General features: G+C 33.6%; 1 protein-coding gene across 8 annotated transcripts in view; it reads right to left on the reverse strand.

The window, feature by feature from the left end:
- The window catches only part of TMPRSS15 (transmembrane serine protease 15), a 216,769-nt gene that overhangs the window by 85,475 nt on the left and 109,887 nt on the right, over positions 1-21,407 (reverse strand). For all 8 annotated transcript variants that reach the window (NM_001428057.1, NM_001428056.1, XM_047440913.1 and 5 more), the window contains 3 exons: positions 17,603-17,734; positions 10,550-10,658; positions 5,167-5,273 (listed from right to left, as the gene is read on the reverse strand). In NM_001428057.1, the coding sequence (NP_001414986.1) occupies positions 5,167-5,273; positions 10,550-10,658; positions 17,603-17,734 (348 nt within the window). The remainder of the gene's footprint in view (positions 1-5,166; positions 5,274-10,549; positions 10,659-17,602; positions 17,735-21,407) is intronic.

Here is a 21,407-nt window from a genome sequence, read left to right on the forward strand (position 1 = left end):
TTTGAGGGAGAAAAACAGTTTTAATTTTTAAATGTGTAAAGCTCAGATATACCCACAGTCCACGAACAGATACACAGAATATAGTGCATATGAAATATTAGACTTTCACGAGGAGCTGTTAGAAAAAAACAAGGCCTGAAATGGTCTCTTAGTGGAGGTGATAATGAAAAAAAGTGTTAACAAACAATGCATTAGCATTTTAGTTTGACAATCTGAGCATGGCATTAGATTCAGGCCTATAAAAAATACCATACTTGCAGATAGGAGACAATGAACCACTGTGAAATAACAGTGAGTTATTTAACATTGAGTTCTGAAAAGAGATACTTTTATGAACTATTAGATATCTTGTGATTATGTAGTAATTAGGAAACAATGTGATACATACAATGGAATTTCAACATAATCTAATAGAAAGGACATCATGAACAAGCATTGATTCACATCTTAATGTTTTTCCCCAAAATGTGTGTCATGCATTCAATGTTTTTTATGAAGAACTATTATTTAGACTGTTGCTACGGCAGCATGCATACCTGTGTAATTTTAATACTTCTCATACTGAAAACCTTTGGAGTTCATAAGTGTTAGTCACTTAAGGGATGTGAACATTCTAGAAACTTTAAACCTATCTGCCTCTTTTTTCCTTTTTATTCCATGGCAATGGAATTCTCTTGGACAATGGCCTCTGGCTGGCTTTGAATGTGGTTGGTGGTTCAACCACACCCTTAGTGTGTTGGATTTCATAGTGTGTTGGATTCTCACGATATCTAATAGAACTGTGCTAGTCTAAAAAGTCCAGGAGCTTACCTTGAATTCCATTAACCTGCTTCAGAGATACATGAAAATCTCCTAAAATGGTGTAGAATATGTGTCTGTAGAGATTTTACAAAACTTTCATAAGATAGTCTTAAAGTCTCCTTGCCTAATAAGAGTCCCAGGACTACAGATCTAGTGAAAGCCATGTATTTCACAAATCCAGGGAGTAGTGGAGGGTAGTGGTTAAGAGCAGGGGCTCCAGCATCAGTATTTGATTGAGTCTTGGTTCCATGTCTTACTAGACTACTCTGTGCCTTTCTTCTGTAGTGTTACAACTTTTTCCCATAAAGATTTGTGATAAGGAGTAAAAGTAATTCTCATGTAAGACAGTGACTGGTATATACTAAATGCTTAGTGAATTCTGTCTTTTGCTTCTCTATCTCACCAACTAGGTTGTAAACCTTGAAAAGGATGAGATCATGACTTAATGCTTTCTGTGCCTCTGTCATTGTACCAAAGCATAGGAGATTTTTAATCAATATTTGAGGGCATATATCATGATGTGAGTAAACAGAGTAATAGAATTTGCCTACATAAACGAGACAGGGTTTGTGTTGAAAGAAAAAGAAAACAATTACCTAATATCTTTTAAAGGATGACTTTTTTCCTATATCACAACTGATAAATTTTTAGACATTCCTTAAGAAAATCCAATGTCTTCTACTAAAAATCCAAAACTTTTATGGATGTTAATTTGCATAGACTGATCAAGCAGTCACTCTTAAATGTGAATTAACTCATCATTTGTCTACTAACAGCAAAGGCTCTGGTGAATAGGTTTTGTGAAAGAAGAAAGAAGTATGATACAGATGTGGGGAATTTGGAAAGACGGCAATGGACGGGGAAGACCAACTTTCTACAGAATAGGATTCAACAGATCTAGTTCAAACTACTTATATTATCCAATTTATAAGAGTGAAAATGCGGCAACTAGAGTACCATCTTTATTATAAAATAATTTCTAATATATTCAACACGTCTTAGTGAGTGCCCACTATGAATTTAGTCTGGGGCCAAGTGCTGATGACATAGAAAAGAAGTAACCAGTTTCCTCTATTAGAAGAATTTATATTGGTGAGTTATTAAAAATAACCATAAAATTATTATATAAGGGAAAAATGCTATGGGGGTACCAAAGAAGGAATCTTTAATTTTGCCAGGCACTATGATTGGCGAATCTTTGAGAATTTCTGGAAGGGATGACTTAAGCAAACTTAGTGCTTGCTAAAATAAACTTTTCCACATAACATACCCCTATCAACAGAAGTGAATTAATGGGTACTTCTGAGTATACATAAAAGTGTCCTAATAAAAGCACAAAATGTGTTGAAAATGCTTTACTTTGAATAATATTTGCCTATATTGTTTAATTCCATAATGCAGTGTGATTATTTTTGTTGTAGGATAAGTTGACAATTCAGGAATATACACTATGTTTATTGCATAGCTTTGGCTATAGCTATGCACACTTCTGTGTGCCTCAGGATAAGCATGGCCTTACACAATGTTAAGCTACAGTATTAGAAATATATTGTCAGCAGTCCTGTGGGAATGGAATACCAGCTAAGCACTTGAGATATAAAGAATGGCATAACAACTATGCACTCAGAGACACAATTCCTGGGCTAAGCATTTTGAAACCGTTTTCAGTGTGCTAACCTAGGCATTTTTGTTGTCTTTCTTTGAAGATGCATAAAAACATTTATAGATTTTTGTGACCACTAAATTAAGTAAGCTCACTCACCGTCTTCTACCCCTTTCATATGAAGTATTAATAATTATTACAACCATTGAATTCAATATTATACCTTCATCATTGCAACTTAAAGAAAACACTTTTGAAATAACTTTCCCAGCACTCTATTTTGATTTACTTCAATTTTCATAATTATTTGAAGACTGCACTATCACTTTACACAATGTCTGTATTTCTCTGATGCTTTTTAGCAGTTAGAGAACTTTTGCATCACAATTGTAGATTAAAATGATGGAAAAAAATGCCTTTAGGATTTGTTTATGCTGATTTCCCCCTAATCAGGTATATAACAACTATTTTATGATGATAATTCCTTACATTGTCTCTATATAATCCCACTTACCCTAAGTAAAAAATTTATATATTTCCAATATTGTACAAATAATAACTATTTGAGATTGTATATTTTGAATTGGAATTTAATGAAAGCAAACCTTGTAAGCATCTTTCACATAAAGAAATTGCTAAAACATTTAGGGAAAGATGAGCTTGTGACTTGAGAATGAAAGTATCTGCATTATTACCATACAAATTAACTTTACACTTATGGGAAATACTGCTTGTTTCCATTGATTATACACTATAATACCATATGATAGAAATATATCCCAGTTGGTGTAAATTCAAATAAACAAACCTTGAGTTTCTACAATACACCAGACTTTGTGCTAGATGCCAGTTGTAAGATAATATTAGTTTTCTTAGAAAAAATTAGAATTTTTAATTGTAAAATTTAACACCCAATACACTTTCTCACATTTTTAGATTATAATTAAAATATTTAATTTTCAAAACTTTAAAATAAATGATTATTCTGAATATCTTAAAATTAAGCAACTACCTATTATAATATAACTACATATTCATTGATGTTTTCTGCTTGGATATTCAGTTTCTTATTATATTTTTATGGCAATTAATTGCATATTAGTCACATCTCTATGGCTAAACATTTTAAAATTTATTCACAAATTGCTGATACCCTAACCATGTGAAAATAATATTTAGACAGACCATGGTATTTGAAGAGTTAAGAAACATGAGAATATCTTATGCCTACCACTTATTCAGCCCTCAACCTCTACCAATTTAGATTTTATCTTCTGTATAATAGGGATGATAATATCACCTACATAATTGGTTTGGAAGAGCATTTAGTCAGTCAACTCAAAGTGCTGACAACACTCCTTTACACAGTGTAGGTGAAAATATATGGTAAAGTTTATTAATGTCACATTAGTCTTTGGAAATATTTATATGAAGTAACCTATTTGTCCACCTATGTAAATATTTATGTTGATCATAATTTTAAAAAACTGCATCTATCAGCTATAGAAATAGATTATGAAATGGTTGGCCCATTTTTTTTTAAGAGCAAATGTGACTTACCATGAGTTCACATGTTTTATATATACTCATTATGATATTTTTACTTGGGCTTTTAAGGCACAAAGAATAATGGTATTATGTTTCAAGTCAGAGAGTTTGGGCTTTGATTTCTGCCTCCAACACTGTGAACTTATGGTAATTTAATATATTATACCTCATTTTACTGTTCTGTAAAACATATTTTGCAGGTTTGTTGAAAATATTAAAGAAGAAAATGCACATTGATTATTCAGTAGAGTATCACACAACAATACCTAATAAAAATGAGATATTATTAGCATATGCTTAAATATTTCTCAAATCATTAAATCTGTAAAAAATTATTCAATAGGATTCACTTTTCATTACGTATAAATACAATTTGAGAGGCAAGGTTCTTAAAATAAAGTTATTATATAAAATTTAATCACAGGTGTCACCAACCTTATCTTAGCTCTAGAACAGTTAACTATTTCTCCAACATGCGAGGAAAACTAGTTATTCCCTTGGCTTCGTTTCCACATTCTCTACCTCATCCTCACTTTATTTCCCCGTGGAATTTTGCCCCTAATTTCACTGGTTACTGTGAATAGATCTGTGCATTTTGGGGCCCGGTGGAATAAAGGGGCATGAATAGAAACATATTACTAGGGCATTCCCTGCCCTCTTTTCAGCTTCCAGCCCCGTCCATGTGTAACGATAAATGGTTATATAGTAACAATACCATCCATCCACATCTATCATTTACTTAGCCTACCTCCTTGGCTAGACAGTGTTTTAGCCACTTTATTAGTAATAGCCTGCAGGAGACCGAGGAGCAGGATGAACATAAAAAATGACAGAACCTCTGTGAGTTTATAACCTACGCAATGCAGAGAAAACAGAATAGTAATTTTCAGGGATTGTGTGAATTTGGTTAATAGGGACTAACATTTAAACAATGTATGGTAACCAAATATATAATTATAATCCTTTGACAAATTTCACATAATTTTTAAGATATTAATTAGGAGAGGACAATGTTAAAACGTAACTGCTTTATTATGAAGACCACATAGAGCACTAATTTTCTAATTTTTATAATGAGAAGCAATTGTTTTTTTTTTAGTTTTATAAGTTTCAAGTCCATATTCACTTCAAAATCAAAGGGAAAACATACCACTCCAAAAATTTACCCACATATTTTCATTTTCATAAGTAATTGTATATTTGTTTCAACTTACCTCTTAAAATCTTGCTTGATCCTACACCTTCATAAATATCTAATATATCTGTATAATATGTATTAAAATCATCGAAGCTCAGTTTAATGGAAAGTCCTTGGTTTACACTAAATTAAAAGCAAAAAATAGATTACCAAATTTTTAACAGTTGTCATATTTCTTAATGCATTCTAGAATTTGTATGTGTTTTCTTGTGGTGAACACCACATAATATGATATCTACTCTCTTAAATTTTTAAGTGTACAGTGCAGTATTGCCGGTTATGAACACAATGATGTACAGCAGATCTCTAGAACTCTTTCAGGACTGAAACTCTGTATCACTGAATGACAACTTCCCATTGCTTAGTCCTCCCAGCCCCTGGCAATCACCATTCTCCTTTCATTTCCATGAGTTTAACTACTTTCTATGCTTCATGTAAATGAATTCATGCAGTATTTATCTCTCTGTGACTGGCTTATTTCACTTAGCATAATGTTCTCAAGGTTCTTCTATGTTGTATGATATACAAGATTTCCTTCTTTATGACTGAGTAATATTCATATATATATCACATTTCCTTTGTTCAATCATCGGATTATGGACACTCACGTTCTTTTTACCTTTTGTTTATTGTAACTAATGCTGAAATGAACATGGGAGTGCAGATATTTCATTCAGATAAATATTCAGAATTGGGAATGCTGGATCAGGTGGGAATTCTATTTTTAATTTTTTGAGGAACCTGCACACTGTTCTCCATAGCAGCTGCACCATTTCAGGTCTTCTCGATATCATTTGTGGAAAAAGACTATCCTTTCCCCTTTGTGTTGTCTTAGCACCCTCGTGGAAGATCATTTGATCATATATGTGAGGCTTTATAGTGGGCTTTCTATTCTGTCTATGTGTTTGTCTTTTTGCCAGTACGTTACAGTTTTGATTACTATAGCTCTGTAATATATTTTGAAATCAGGAAGTGTGAGACCCCAGGTTTGTTATTTTTTCAGTTTGTTCTGGCTATTCAGGTTTTGTTGTGATTCCATATACATTTTTGGATTTTTTTTCTATTTCTGTAAAAAACCTCCATTGGTATTTTACAGGGCTTGCATTTGATCTGTACATCACTTTCGGTAGTATGAACATTTTAATTATGTTAAATTGTCCAATTCATGTATATTGTTCATACCATCAAGATGACAGCTATCATATTCTATAATTGTTATTTACATACTTAAATGTCTTTCCTAACAGAATTTATATGACTCAAGGACAGGGATTAATTCATTCATTCCTGTATTATCTAATACTTTGTAGAAACTAGTGCATGCTATTGATATAAAAAAATAATGTATCTAGCTGCTGGTATAAGAGCATAGAAGGAAAAGTGTGACAGGTTCATCAGAAAATTTAAATTAGATATTTAAACTATTTTCATTTTCAGATAATAGTTTCAGAGAGGGGAGACTTAGTGGAACCTCTATTTACAACTCCACTGTCTCATTAAAGTGTTATAATCAGAAATGTAAATAACTCCTCCAAGTGCTTTGTAAGTACCAAGTTTCTCTGAACTCCTTGGAAGGGAGATGGCTAAAAGAAATAAAAGTGTGTACGGGAGAAAACATCTAAGGCTCCTTGGGCATGAGTTTGGCTAGATCATCTGCAAATGGACCCAGGAAAGGATTAAAAAGGCTAGTAATACTTAAGAGATTTAGTTTCCAAGGCCAAGCAGGAGCCCTGAGAAGTGGTCTGGCCTCTGACTCTGGCCATGGAGGATACTGAGTGAACAAGGCCTACAGGCAGGGACATGGCAAGATTGGCTTTTAGGTTCACCACCAGCAGTAATGTGGCCAATAAGGCAATCAAGGACATTCTTCACAGAGTTAGTTAATTTTTGAAAGTCTAAAAGTCATTGTTGAGAACTGTTCATTTGTGGCAAGACCTCAGGTTGATCAAACACCATACTATAATTATGGCCAGTGGGGTGGAGTTCAGGGCTGAAGTTTAGTCTTCAAGTAGTGGGGTTGGTGTTAGTGCAATGGCAGCTACTAGCAGGGCAGCATTAAAAGACAACTAAGCAGAAACTCAGATTTTTGGACCTACTGGTGTTTGCTGTAAGGGAGATAAAGTTAGAGTGGTGGTAGGTTATTAAAAAAAAAACAAACCCAAAGCATAAACCTATAGACTTCAGCCCTGAGTATCAGATTCAGCAGTTCCAGAGTGTATTTTGGAATGTATATTTTGAGAAGCTCCAAGGGCGATTATGATGAGCTCTTAGGTTTGAGGGCCCTTGAAGTATGATAGGTAAATGCAGGAGATGCTACACTCATGGCTACTCTAAGACATGTCTGGTAACCACCGGCAGAGGTAAGGGGATCAAGGTGAGAGAGCAGAAGATCATCCCAGAGTAGACAGAGAAGGAAAGTAAAGCTAAGTTTGAAGCTGTTTAAATTCTGCCTCTGTTATGTCAGTTCAAGGACTGGGGGAGTGAGCCTGCTGGTGAGACCTTTAGAGAATCTGGAGTCAAGCTGGAATAGACAGAGATGGAAGAAAGAGGCAGACTTGAGAGATGATTTCTTAACTAAAGTTCTGGTGTGCCTGGGCAAGAATATGGTGAGTGTTTTTTCATCTGATGTTTTCAAGCTGTCAATCTAAGGAACGCAAGCATGAGGAGCCCCCTAGGACGCTTTGCTTTCAGAGGACCTCTGCTTTTCCAAAATAGATATTTGGAGGTAGAAGAGACAAAAAAGTGCAGACGATTTTCCACCTCCTTCTGATTCAGAAAATTCAACTCACTTCCAATAAAACCACAGGGATTTATAAAAGTAAGATTAATTGGAGAACATAATCAGATTTTGTTATAATATTAGATATTTCAGTTACCTTCTGATTTTTTGAAGGGATTAAATTAAATTTCTTTAAATTTAATTTATACACTTTGTATTATTGTGTCAGTAGTTAATATTTTTATAGACCACTTTTATTGAGCATTTAATATGTGGCTAAGCACTTTACATTCATTATCATATTTAATAATGACTTCTTTGAACATAGTATTTAGAGATGTGGAATTCTACAGACACAGAAATTTGGAGTCAAAGAGGTTTACTCATTTGCCTGAGATCACACATCTTGATCTGATGATGTGTGAAGATCTTGATCTGAAGATCTTAATCTGAAGAAGTTAGATTTGAACCCACACAAACTGTCTCCAATAACTATATTCTTAACTATTGGCTGTATGCTAACTGTGGTCTTAATGTAATTCAAAGGATGAGCTGGTCCTGCTCAAAATATAGTTTAATTGCATCTTAAACATTTCTCCTATATTTAATTGATCTTAAACCTTATAGAAAAATTATTGTCTTTAGTCTCATCTGATCACTATTGGGAAAGAAAACAACTATTTGATACAATGCATCACTAATATAATAATCAACTTTGAGAAAAAATAGATTATTTGTGTGATTAATTAAATCATCATTTTAGCATAAAGTACACTGTTTTGGGGTAACATCTTAGGTTCTTCAGGTTTTTAAAATAATCCATTTATCAATCATAGATTTCTTAAAATAGTTTCAAAAATTAAGTAATGGAAAGAAACTAAAAACAATAGGGCCATAACATTTTTAATTAATATAGGATAATTTTTGCGTAAAGGACATTATCATTACAGCAGAAGTTTATTGTGTGTTCTGCTCATAAACCCTCTAAATGTGACCTGTCTTTATTAAGAAGTGAACTTAGCAATTAAATTATTTTTATTTGGTATTAATAAAATTTCAAAGATTGCATAAAAAATAGTTGTGTACCCAATTATGCAGATTAGTTACAGTCTTTCCATTTTCAGTGAAAGATATTTAAGATTTTCTACAGCTTTCTATTGACATTTTAAATAAGTGCTAGAGTTAATATTTTATTTTCCTAATGACCAATGCTAATAGACATTTATAAATGCTTCTTTTAAGTTTGAAGTGATTATGTGTGTGTGTGTGTTTCTGCATCAGAAAAATGCTTTATATAGATATATAAACACATACAAATGTAGGTTGAAAACAATATTCTCCAACTTGGTTAATTTTTCAATTGGCAAGAATTACTTAGAACTGCCATTTTTAATTCATAGTCTTATTTTTGACACACCAATAGCATGTTATCTAGAGCAGGAAACAAAGGAAATTGTGTTTTTAGTTGTATTACATATCTCTCAAGGGGCTGCACTCCAAATCGAAATAAAAAATAAAGGGATACTCTTCTTTCCTTGAACAATGCCAAGTAAGTGTGTATAGAACAATCTTTTTCTCACATCTCCTCTCTGGGATATGTCTACCTGGGTGATTAGTTATTGGGCCATTTCATACTGTTTGGCAAGAACCTGAGGCTCTGACTTTTAACTTTCTTTAATCAGCTATTATATGTCAATATAATGTATCATAAATATAATCATCAATATCAATCATCATCAATATAATATAATCACAATGATTAAAATTATACTATAGGTCAGACTGGTAAACCATAATCCCATCTAGCTATTAATAGAAATGAACTAATTAGAATATAATTTTTCATAGTGAATTCTATGGAGCACTTATTCTGCATGCTCTGTTGGGGAAATATTCAGTATTTTAACAAGAAAGTTTTCATTGGAGACTTACATCGCATGTTAACATATTTAAGGCTATAAGAAGTCCTACTTTTAAGAGTTTTAATAAGTTTATTTCAGGATCTCTTATATTTATGTGAGTACAAATTCTTTTTATCCTTGGAATATCCGGAAGGAACTTAAGGTGTTCCTTGTCTATGAAAATGCTTAGGTAAACTTTAAGGTAGATCAGCTATCAGCAGCCTAATTATTTTGATTATCTTCATGATTGGGTTGGTTAATTGAATTAAGAATGTGGAGGTGAAATACATATTGACTGATCCAAATGTCTTTCAAGATATAGTAAGAAAGACATGTATAGAGGCTGTTCCCTGCTCTTAATCTGCTGTAACTGAATCACACCTTTAGAGATTTCCACATGGTAAGCAGCAAAATGAGAAAGAAAATATTTTATAGACAAATGCAGAAGATGCGAAATTCTACTTCTCACGATACACAGACATACATGTATGTTGTTTGCCTGGCCGCACATGAATAATGTCCACCACAGAAAAATAAACTTGCTTCAGAACCCAATGAGATGACCCCACTTATTAGACAGTATTGTTCATAGCACAGAATAGCTTTTTAAAAGGTTAAAAATGATAGTATAGTTTTTTGTACAGTTTTTCAGTTGGGAGGTTTTTGCTTCATAGTTAATGAAAACAATGATTCTTTAAAAAACTACTGAAAGCAATAAGACGTTGCATCAGAAAAACGCTTTATGACTTAAGAACAGAAAATATAAGATCTTGTATTACCGTATGATCCACTGGCAGACAACACTTGTTTCAGAAGGTTTTGGATAATGAGTAGCCTGGAAAGACCCAGATGATCCAGTTAACAAAAATCTTCCATCACAAACTGTGGCTGCAAAACGATGCCAATTAATGTTAGACAAAAACAATCTTGGGATTCAAATTGGCTGCAAAACATTTCACAGAATATTCATGGCAAAACCTGTACAAGGTTATTTTATGAAACTGAAATGATAGTAAGATTTCATGTTTGAAACCTATTAGCCATGTTCAAATACTCATACACATCCTATCGTGAAATATTTTGGAAAAATTCTTTCTTTCTCTCTCTCTCTTTCTCTCTTTCTTTCTCCTTCCTTTTCCCTTGCTTCCTTCCTTCCTTCCCTCCCTCCCTCCCTTCCTTCTTTCCTTCCTTTTCTCTCTTTCTTTCTCTCTCTTTCTCTCTTTTTCCTTCCTTCCTTCCTTCTTTCCTTCCTTTTCTCTCTTTCTTTCTCTTTCTCTCTCTTTTTCCTCCCTTCCTTCCTTCCTTCCTTCCTTCCTTCCTTCCTTCCTTCCTTCCTTCCTACCTTCTCTCTCTCTCTTTCTTTCTCTTCTTTCTCTTTTTTCCTTTTTTTTTTTTTTTTTGAGACAGAGTTTCGCTCTTGTTGCGTGTGCTGGAATGCAACGGCGCGATCTCGGCTCACTGCCTCCTGTGTTCAAGTGATTCTCCTGCCTCAGCCTCCGGAGTAGCTGGGATTACAGGCGGCGGTCACCACGCCCGGATAATTTTTGTATTTTTAGTAGAGACGGGGTTTCACCATGTTGGCCAGGCTGGTCTCGATCTCCTGACCATAGGTGATCTGCACTCCTAGGACTCCCAAAATGCTGGGATTACAGGCGTGAGCCACTGCGCCATGCCCAAAAGCATTGTCTTTCTAAACACCCTTCCCTAAGCTGCACTTTAAGTGTATTCTTCCATATTTGCAAGGAAATAAATATATCTGAATTGAAAACTGCCAGTTCAGACAAATAACCAGTCATTTTTTGTCTTATTTTTATAATTAAATTGGAGCTAGGTGAATTTCAAATATATGTACAAAGTGCTATGTTTTCTTGAAAAAGATTAGAATAAGGCCAGGAAAATGTTAGTACTAGTGGCCTATACAGAATTCCATCCAACAAATCTGTTAGTCCATCTTTTAAAGCTCATTACTCTTGCTCCTTTGGGAGATAACTAGTTCAATGTTTTCTATATTTTCATTCAATACTCCTGATTAAGCCTTTTGCTTTCCATAATTACTCATTTTCCTCTTTTGGTTTTCATAGTAGATTTATTTCATGAATCTCTCCTTAATGTCATGCATTATTAGTTGCCTTTAATTTATATCTGAATAGATTCCAACTAGATTAAAATCTTCTTGAAGGCATGAACCAGGAGCCATAACTTAGAGATTTTTGTTTTTTTCATACACTTGCTATGTATAGTATATGCAAAAATCCACCTTGATTTTCACAACTTTTAGTCTTTCTTACATTATTTTCCTTCTAGTTAGTTACTTGGTTATGTTGACACAATATTCTAAAATTATGACCCTTACAATGTGTCTTTTTCTCTGCATAGATTAAAAATTCTTCATACGGAGAAACATTAATGGAGGTTAGAAAAATCAAAGTAATATGTCAAAATTAATTTGCTGTGTTTGGAATCTGAGTGTTTAGAATAAGCTAATTCTAAACTGAGCTATGAAAAAGCTCATCGTAAAATTATAAAGTGATTCTATCAAATTACATAATACAAGCTATTTTATGACAAAATATTTTATGTATATAAAATAAATACATTAAAAATTAGATAGCAAATAGAAATCTTGATTAAAATATCATGTGTTTATTGGGTTTTTGCTTTTTTTTGGTATATATATATTTTCAGGTGCATAAAAATTTACTTTGGTAACTTAAGTTTATTATTCAAAGTCTGCTTAAAAACAATGGCCTAGGAATTAATTCATTAGCTTATGATTTGGTAACCTGATTTCCAGAAGAAAAAAAGAACGAAAATAAGAAAAGAAAAGATAACAAGTCAAGAAGCAAGGATTAAATTCTGAACAATCCGGCACAGATCACAGGAAAGAAAGAAAAATAGTGGTTTGTTAACTGAATTGCCTTATGCATAATGATTACTGCAACAAACAAAGAAAATTAAGGCTAATTTGTCATGATTTGAAGATAGATAGTAAAATATGTGACTTTTTAATGACTTGCTAAATAATTTTCCAGTTGTAAAAGCAAATCTCTTTTCTCACCTTCAACGCTCTTTTCCACTGTAAACCATGCCAAACAAGCAGGGCAATTAATGCCTTACATTCAAAGACCATAAAAACAAAAATGGCATTTGCTTGCATTTTATGTGGTATATAAAGCTTTTAAATCACAGTTTGTCGAGAAATAACATGGACTCAAAGATTGTAGACAGTGTAGTAAAGTCTACTGCTATTGTAAAGTTTATATTTGAGTTACAATACTTAGGAAGCAATGAGGTAGGGTGCTCAATCTTATCAGTGCTAAAATATAACTGCCAACATTTATAGAGTGTTTACTATGTGCCGGTCATTTTCTAAAGTTATTATATATGTATGAATGTAATTTGCATAACAACTCTATGATGTTATGGGGGAAACTGAGGCACATATGGGTTAAATAACAACCATAAGGCCTCCTAGCTTACAAGCAACAATTTAAAGCAAGGCAGCCTTATTCTAGAGCATACTGTGGTATATTGCCTAATATCACAATATATATATACATCTATCACTATCGCAATGACATCACCCACTCTTTGAACTGAAAAGCAGGGGGGAAAGCATAAATAAAAGAAGAAACAGAAAATTTTTTAAAGATTTCCATCTTTTTCAATGTTCTTAAAGTTAGAATACAGATCACATTTGCAATAATATTCCAGAACAAATAGGAGGATGCAAAAGAGACACACACAGAGAGAGAAAGGGAACAAAACAAGATCCCTTTAAGCATCTGTAAAAACCTGTTTGTAAAGCTGATAAAATTTTAGTCATTTTTCCCACCTGTTCACTACGCATTTTTTTGGGAAAGGTATCAACAGCTTTGCGCTGCACAATGTGATTCATGATTTCCAGAAAGCCATGTTACGTCTCTAGTTTCAAAGATGGTTCTATGTTTGACAAACCCTCTTTCAGTTCTTTCCTGAGCACATGACTAAACTACACTTCCCCAAATCCCTTGGAGTCAGATAAGGTCATGTGACTGAGTTGGCCGATGAACGATTGTAAAAGTCACTGTGTCTATTTCCAAATATGGTTTCTGAACATATCTGTAACATTCTTCCTTTGTCAGTCAGCTGGTTGTGAAGGATCCAGTAGAGGACTCTGGGGGCAGAGAGAGTGGCAAGTAAGGAGCAGGCATCCTGAATGCCTAGAGCACAACCCTTTGCCATCTTTCTTGCACCGTGATATAGGTGATAAATAAACTGTTATTGTTAAGATTGTTTATCATAGTATTTAGCCTGTCCTAAAGAATATGATCAATTTTCCTGTCCAGTATTCTATCATGTTACTAAGTTTTAGTGGGAATGGATACTCCACAGGTCAAATTCTGCTCTAACGAGGCTCTAGTCAATTCCTGCATTCAAGCAAATATAGAGAATATTCCTAAATGTATTTAAAATAAAATTACAGGAGTATTGAAGTATTTCTAATAGCAACGCTCAGAATGCCAAAATATTATCTTCTCAAGACAGAGGCTTGTGTAAGGCACTTTCTTATACATTTTTTTCATTTAATTTCAGGATGTTTCTGGAGAACCTGATAGTGCAAATGACCATGAATGAAGCAGGATAGGTTTTCAGGAAAAAATATATGACCCAGTTGTGGATGAGTAGGATGACTGGGTGTTTAGGATTGTGACTTATTAGACTGTGCAGTGCTTTCTAGTGCAGCATCAGAAAAAAAAATCTAAGTAGAACATAAATGAGCCTGTCAAATTATAGCAGCCATTCGATTGCACTATCAGAAATGTTGCCTGTAATAGGATGGAACACATAAGGGTAAGCACTTAGGACCCACGAAGAACTCCCTCTGCTGGCTGAATATTCACTAATTGTGTCTTTGCTCATGGCATTCAAATCTCCAGGATATATAAATCAAACATGATCTATGCTCACCCACCAAGCTGTATTATGCATATACACGTGAGGCATACAAACTATGAGAACACTTGCCAACTTCCAAAGAGTTAAGCATTGGCTTAAAGGCTGTGAATCAGCATCTTTCCTTTTCATAGGTCAGCTAAAAAGTGAACTTTCCTGCTGATGTAATTCTAATCAGAAGACGAAAACAATTTAAAGAAATCTTGTTTCAGCTATAGTCAGCTGTAAGTGTGCAAACCTAAATAACTAAAGAGTAAAAGAGGAAGTTGCATGAGGAAGACAATGTTAGTATGACTATCAATAACACAAACCAGAATTAGAGCTCACAGCTGGAGCAAAAAAATAAATAAATCAATAAGAGAGAGAGAGAGAGTAAAGGTAAACTTCATATTGGAAAAATTCTCTTAAATTAGTTTTATAAATTTTTCCATGAATATAGATTGATGGACAGTGGCTTTCAGGTGGAAATAATGCTGCTGGAAGTTTGAGCTGGTGCTGAAAGTCATTAGGCTTGTGGGCTCACCATAATCAATGAATGAAGCAACTTAAAATGAATAAAGCAACTTGTACTCTTAAATTCTCTCTGGATAAAAATAGATTCATTGATTGATTTAAACAATATTATCCCACAAATAATTCGAATTTATTTACCAAAATAGATATAATACTTACTTAAACGAAAAAAAAAAAAAAGAAAATCAAGAAAATGGAAAGTGACGGTGTGTAAGCTTGAGAGAGTTAGTGACATGAAAGGCTGGTCACTACTAAGGTTCAATTAACAAAAAATCTTCATGTTACTAAAAAGTAACAACGCAGTTTGACTATATTTTTAAAGCAAATTAAGATAATTACTTCCATTCTAATACTGAGGCTCATCTCCTGAGTTTAGAGTGGCTCATAAAAATGATTCATAGCATTAAAACTTATTTTAGGACAAATTATCACACTTACATGATATTCCTATGGTTCATTTTTATATGCACTGATATTAGTTCATCATGAAAATTATGAACTCCATGAGCATAATAACAAAATAATAGGTACAGTACATTTTTCAATTATTTGATTCATATATTTTGGTAGTTATGCCTTTTCCTCTATTTAAGGATATTGATCATCATTATATTGGCTTAAAGCCATGTGTCTAAGTTGACATACACTATTGTTTTTGAAACAGAAATCAGCATCACCTTTGTTACCTCATGATGGCACACTTGCATCATATTCTCCCTGAAAAGATTTTGGAAAATGCCTGAAAGCCACAGCAAAGCAAGAACATTGCTTTCTTCTTCTTTGAGTAACTTAGTTATATAAAATAGATTAAAAATATTCCGCAGCCTGCACTTTCTTCCAATATGTTCTGAGTGTACTTCAAAGTCTGTAGTTAAACTTTAAAGGTCTGAATTTTATCCAAGAACATTTGCATCGGGATTGCTTAGTGGAAATCTCTGTAGTAGAGTTGCCTTTCATTGAGTTGGTACCGGGAAACAGACCAAATGCCTGGCTTTTAAAATGTGTACTAAGTGGATAGGTAGCTTTTAAAACTTTGGTCGTTATTAGAATATTCATCTTTAATTACTATCAAGCAAGATGAGAAAAGTGTAACAAATAATAGAAAAGTGTAGCAAATAGTAACTATGGTCTTTAACACACTTTGGGCACTAACTGTATTTATAGTCAGTTTTAAAACTGATTATAAGCCATACCAAAAAATGTGCAGTTAATACTGTTAAATAAAACAAAATATCAGTTAGACTTATCCAAAGTCAGCAGTCTCCCCTTATCCACAGGGGATATTTTCTAAGACCTCCAGTGGATGCCTGAACCATGGATAGTACTGACCCCTATATCTACTATGTTTTTTCCTATACATACACACCTACCATAGGAGATTAACAGCAATAATCACTAATAAAATAGAACAATTATAACAATACTCAGAATGATGTGCAATTTTATACTTATACATTGTTTATTTCTGGAATTTTCCATTTACTGTGTGTCCTGTGGTTGACAGCAGGTAGTTGAAACTGTGGAAACCACTAATAAGGGAGAACTACTGTAGTTCTATGTGGAAATCTTCTTAAATGTGTTACACACAGAAACAAATTACCTACTTAGATGCTGCTTTCTAGTAAACTTTTCTAAGTGGAATCCAGCTATGAAATGAAGAAATAAGTAAAAGAGTAAATACGTTTAAATCAACTAGAGCCATGCTTGGTATATGGTAACTGCTACTTAAGTGTCAAATAGTAATAATAATGGTAAAATAATGTTATTGTCATTAACACTCAAAAAATGCCAAAATATACAAATGAAACACAGAAGTTTTACTTATGAGGCATTAAGTTCTTATTCATATCTTATTTCTACTATTTATAGAACTACAAGAGGCAAATAAAAGGAACAGTCAAAATTTTAATATGGTGCTCAGTGAGTTAGGTACTGTTAAAATGTTGAAAGAAAAAGACTGATATGATAGTGAAAAAACATGAAAACCATTAGTAAGAAGTGAGAATGTCTATCACAGAAGTCAAATTAATAATAGTTTGGATTAGTTTAATATAGAGAAGAGATGAAAATGTAGCAACACCCATCCCCACATTTATGACAGACATTGTTAATCACATCTTCCTTTCTGTAGTGATCAAATGGAATTCTGTTTAATTAATTAATATCTTTAATATTATTTATAAAGTTTAGGAAAATATTAATAAAATTATTTTAAGATTTTGTATTATATTTTAAAAATAGCTATTTAAATAGCTCATTCTTCAGTAGTTTCAGGTATTTGAGATTAGAATGTGTGTGTGTGTGTGTGTGTGTGTGTGTGTGTGTGTGTGTCTACAGTGAGGGAGGATAAAACAGAAGGGGAGAGAGTAGGGGGGAGAACTTACCACACATTTTATTGTCTTCGTCAGAACCATCTGGACAGTTTACTTCTCCATCACAAAATAAATCAGCTTTTATACACGTTAGAGCATCAGTACAAGGACTTGAACCAGGCAGGCACTCTATTGAGACATTTCCTTTAAAAAATAACTGAAATTAATTTCCAATTGATGAGATATGTACAATGTTTAAATATTTAATAGGCCTTTTTGCCACTGGGGTTCTTACTTATAAGTATGTTCTTCAACTGCCATAGGAATATTTATTTCATTTGCAAATCAATCATTTGTAAAATTAGAGCATTTTAAATTTTGAAATTTCATGTGGGGCAATTTTGGAAAGCTTATCACATCATCTGCAACATCTAGCAGCCACTTCATTTACTCATAAGCTTATTATTTGAAAATATAGTGGCTTAAGTCAAGGTTTCCATTCTGTAGAGTACATTTACCAACCAAAGTCATTTTAAAGTAAGATAAGCACTTAAAATTCCCAGTGCATTGTGACATTGAACAATGAAGAAACCTAATAGCTATTTCTGTTCAGTATCTCTTTGTTCCTTGGGTCAGAGATTCTTAGGGGGTACACTGTAAACACACCCCTGCGGGGTTTCATGCCATCTTCTGGAGGGTATCCGAAAAACTTGCACCTCTCAGCCTGACTTGTCCTTCACTTGCCCCACTTTCATAAACTTAAGTCTAGAGATGCACCAAGAAACACATTTTACTTCTAGAAATTAACTTGGGAAGTTTAAGAGCAATTCTGAAAATAAGCCATATTCTTATATGCCTACAAGATAAAGACTTTTAAAAAAAATTTTTAGGCCAGTGTGGAAATTTGAATACTTCTGCCTCTGAATATAACAACAATGATGGTGAAAAGTTTTGGAACTCTTTAACTCATCAGCATTTTTTTTTCTTTTTGGTTGTTGTTCTTAATCTTAAAGCCAGAACTGTATTGCCATCTGCTGGGTTTTCAAAATATGAAAATCTGAAATTTCTCCTTCTGCTCTATAAAATTAATTGGAAAATAAAAATGCCCATGTCAATGAATCTACTAAGTTACTTCTTAATTAAAAACTTTTATAGATTTTTGCTGAGTCTACATACAACTAAATTAGACATTTGTAACTGGCTGTAATTAAAATGAATATAAACCAATGGGAAATTCATGGAACGCCCAACATCTAAAATTATAGGACAGAGTAAAGATCAAAGCCATTCTCAAATGATAGAGTACTCCCATGTAGGAGAATAATAAATAATAATAAAAATATTATTTAATAAACTCAAATGCATATATTTGTTGATATTTAAGAGCTATTCATCAAAAGTCCTTAACCATTGAGTTATTAATCCAGAAAACACATATTTCATAGAATCTCATACATGCTTTATAAATAAATAAACCAAATAAAGCACTATACTTAAAACTGTGTCTTATTTTACAAGTAGCTAATAGAATTCCAAGTATTCAGCATTTCAAAGATGAATTTGGGATACAGCTAGGAACATATATCACTTTGGCTGTCCTAATGCTTCTCATGGGAGCTCCACTTCCTGATGTATCACATCTCTGTTCAGTATCTGTTGAACTCTTGATTAGACCCCAAAACCACACCAGCAAGTCATACCACTTGGACTTGACTGATCTCATGATTAATCATTTATTGACCCCACAAGTATTTATTTTGTACACATTTTTGTCATGGAATTTTAAGAGACAGAGATAAAAGAATGAGTAAGGCAGAGCCTCTCTCTTTTTATGAAGCTTCAAGTTAAGTGGGGGGAAATTGTTTATGTACAAATTATATTTTAAAGAGAGATTTAAAAAGTGCTATGGGGGCATCAAAGTTTAAGCAATTAGTTTCCTTCTAAGGCAAGAATTAAAGACATTTTTACAGAAATGGTCATATTTCAATTAGTTTTTGATGTACACCTAGAAAGGCACCAGGAGGAGAGAGATATGGAATGTATTTAGTGATGTGTGAAGAGTACATCAATAGGCCGGGCGCGGTGGCTCACGCCTGTAATCCCAGCACTTTGGGAGGCCGAGGCGGGTGGATCATGAGGTCAGGAGATCGAGACCATCCTGGCTAACAAGGTGAAACCCCGTCTCTACTAAAAATACAAAAAATTAGCCGGGCGCGGTGGCGGGCGCCTGTAGTCCCAGCTACTCGGGAGGCTGAGGCAGGAGAATGGCGTGAACCCGGGAAGCGGAGCTTGCAGTGAGCCGAGATTGCGCCACTGCAGTCCGCAGTCCGGCCTGGGCGACAGAGCGAGACTCCGTCTCAAAAAAAAAAAAAAAAAAAAAAAAAGAGTACATCAATATATGAGAAACAGATGAGTCTCACTAACATAGATGGTGGGATGTTTATGGAAGGCATAGTAGGAAGGCAGTTTGGTACCAGATTCTAGGAAACCTTTTTATCTTTGTTAAGTGTTAGAAATACTTTTCAATAGGTGATGGCATTGGAAGATTTTACATATATCTGCAATATGACCAGTCCATGTTTCATAAAGGCAATTGTTGGACCATGTGAAACACCACTTGAATAAGACCACTCGAGAAGCAGTTTCAATGGTCCACATGAAAGATGAGGGCTAGAACTCTCACAATGGCAGAGGAGATGGGACATGGACTCAATTACTACTTTACAGGTAAAATTGATGAGCTTCAGTGACTACGTTTGCTTCTGAACAAGATTAGTGGAGGTGAAGAATGGGATGCTAAGGAATTGGCAGTTGAATTACTGAAAAGGCCATTTGGGTTACTAATGGCCATTAGTCGCAATAGTGATTATGAGATGAACAAATTGTGGGGTTAGAAACTTGAGTCTAGTTGGAAGTATTTTGAATTTAAGTTGGAATATTAGGTATTGTTTTAAGTTGCACTCTGTCTCTCTCCAAACTATTTCATAAACATTCTTCAACTGACTTGGTCCATGAGGAAACAGAAGTTTTCTGTATTAAAACTAGTATGAAAAATATGAATGTGATTCTTATGCAATGGTAGTGAGTTTTAAAATTTTTGTCAAATTGTATTTTTACTGAGTCTTCTCTCACTCTTTCATTTCCTACATGAATATATATTATTACAATTTCTAAGAAAAATCATCAATTAAAACATTAGCTGTTATACCCAGCCAGATGCCAGTTTAATTTAAATGGTTTTGCACTCTCAAACTAGAATTATTGACTTCAGTATTACTTGGTTTGTATTTCATTACTTAATTTTTGTTCTAATATTTCTTTTTTTCTAAGAAGTCTGTACCAAATTGTGTTCCCAACAGAAAATTTTTAGGAAAGGAGTTTATCAATTCTAGTTAAAGAAAAGTAAATGAAGAGAATAATAATTGGTTTCATTTATTAAAAGCTAATCAAATTTCCTTCATATTAGGCATTATTAACTCAGTGGGAAAAAGTGCACTTGTTTTCTGTAATCTATGTGGTATTTTACCTTCAGGACACTAACTTTTGACATATTATGAAAACACACCAGTAGATTAGTATTACTTGGAATTCTGCAAATAGGCTTTAATTATTCATTTGTATTGTAACATGAAGAATTCGGTATACACTCAAAGATGATTATTTCAGAGTGATCCAATGTCCAAAAAATTTCCAGTGATTTGACATTAGGAACCTCCTGTGCCTACGGAGAGCAGGCTCTGTGCTAGGCATCATGGAGAGTAAAAAGACTAAAATCCATTATTTTTCGCCTTCCAAATAATTTGTAAGAGATGTTACATACAACATGAGTAAATTGAAACCATGGTTTGGAAATCATAGATTTTTATTGTCCCTACAA

The sequence above is a fragment of the Homo sapiens genome, chromosome 21 (assembly GCF_000001405.40).
Source record: "Homo sapiens chromosome 21, GRCh38.p14 Primary Assembly".
Classification (NCBI taxonomy): domain Eukaryota; kingdom Metazoa; phylum Chordata; class Mammalia; order Primates; family Hominidae; genus Homo; species Homo sapiens.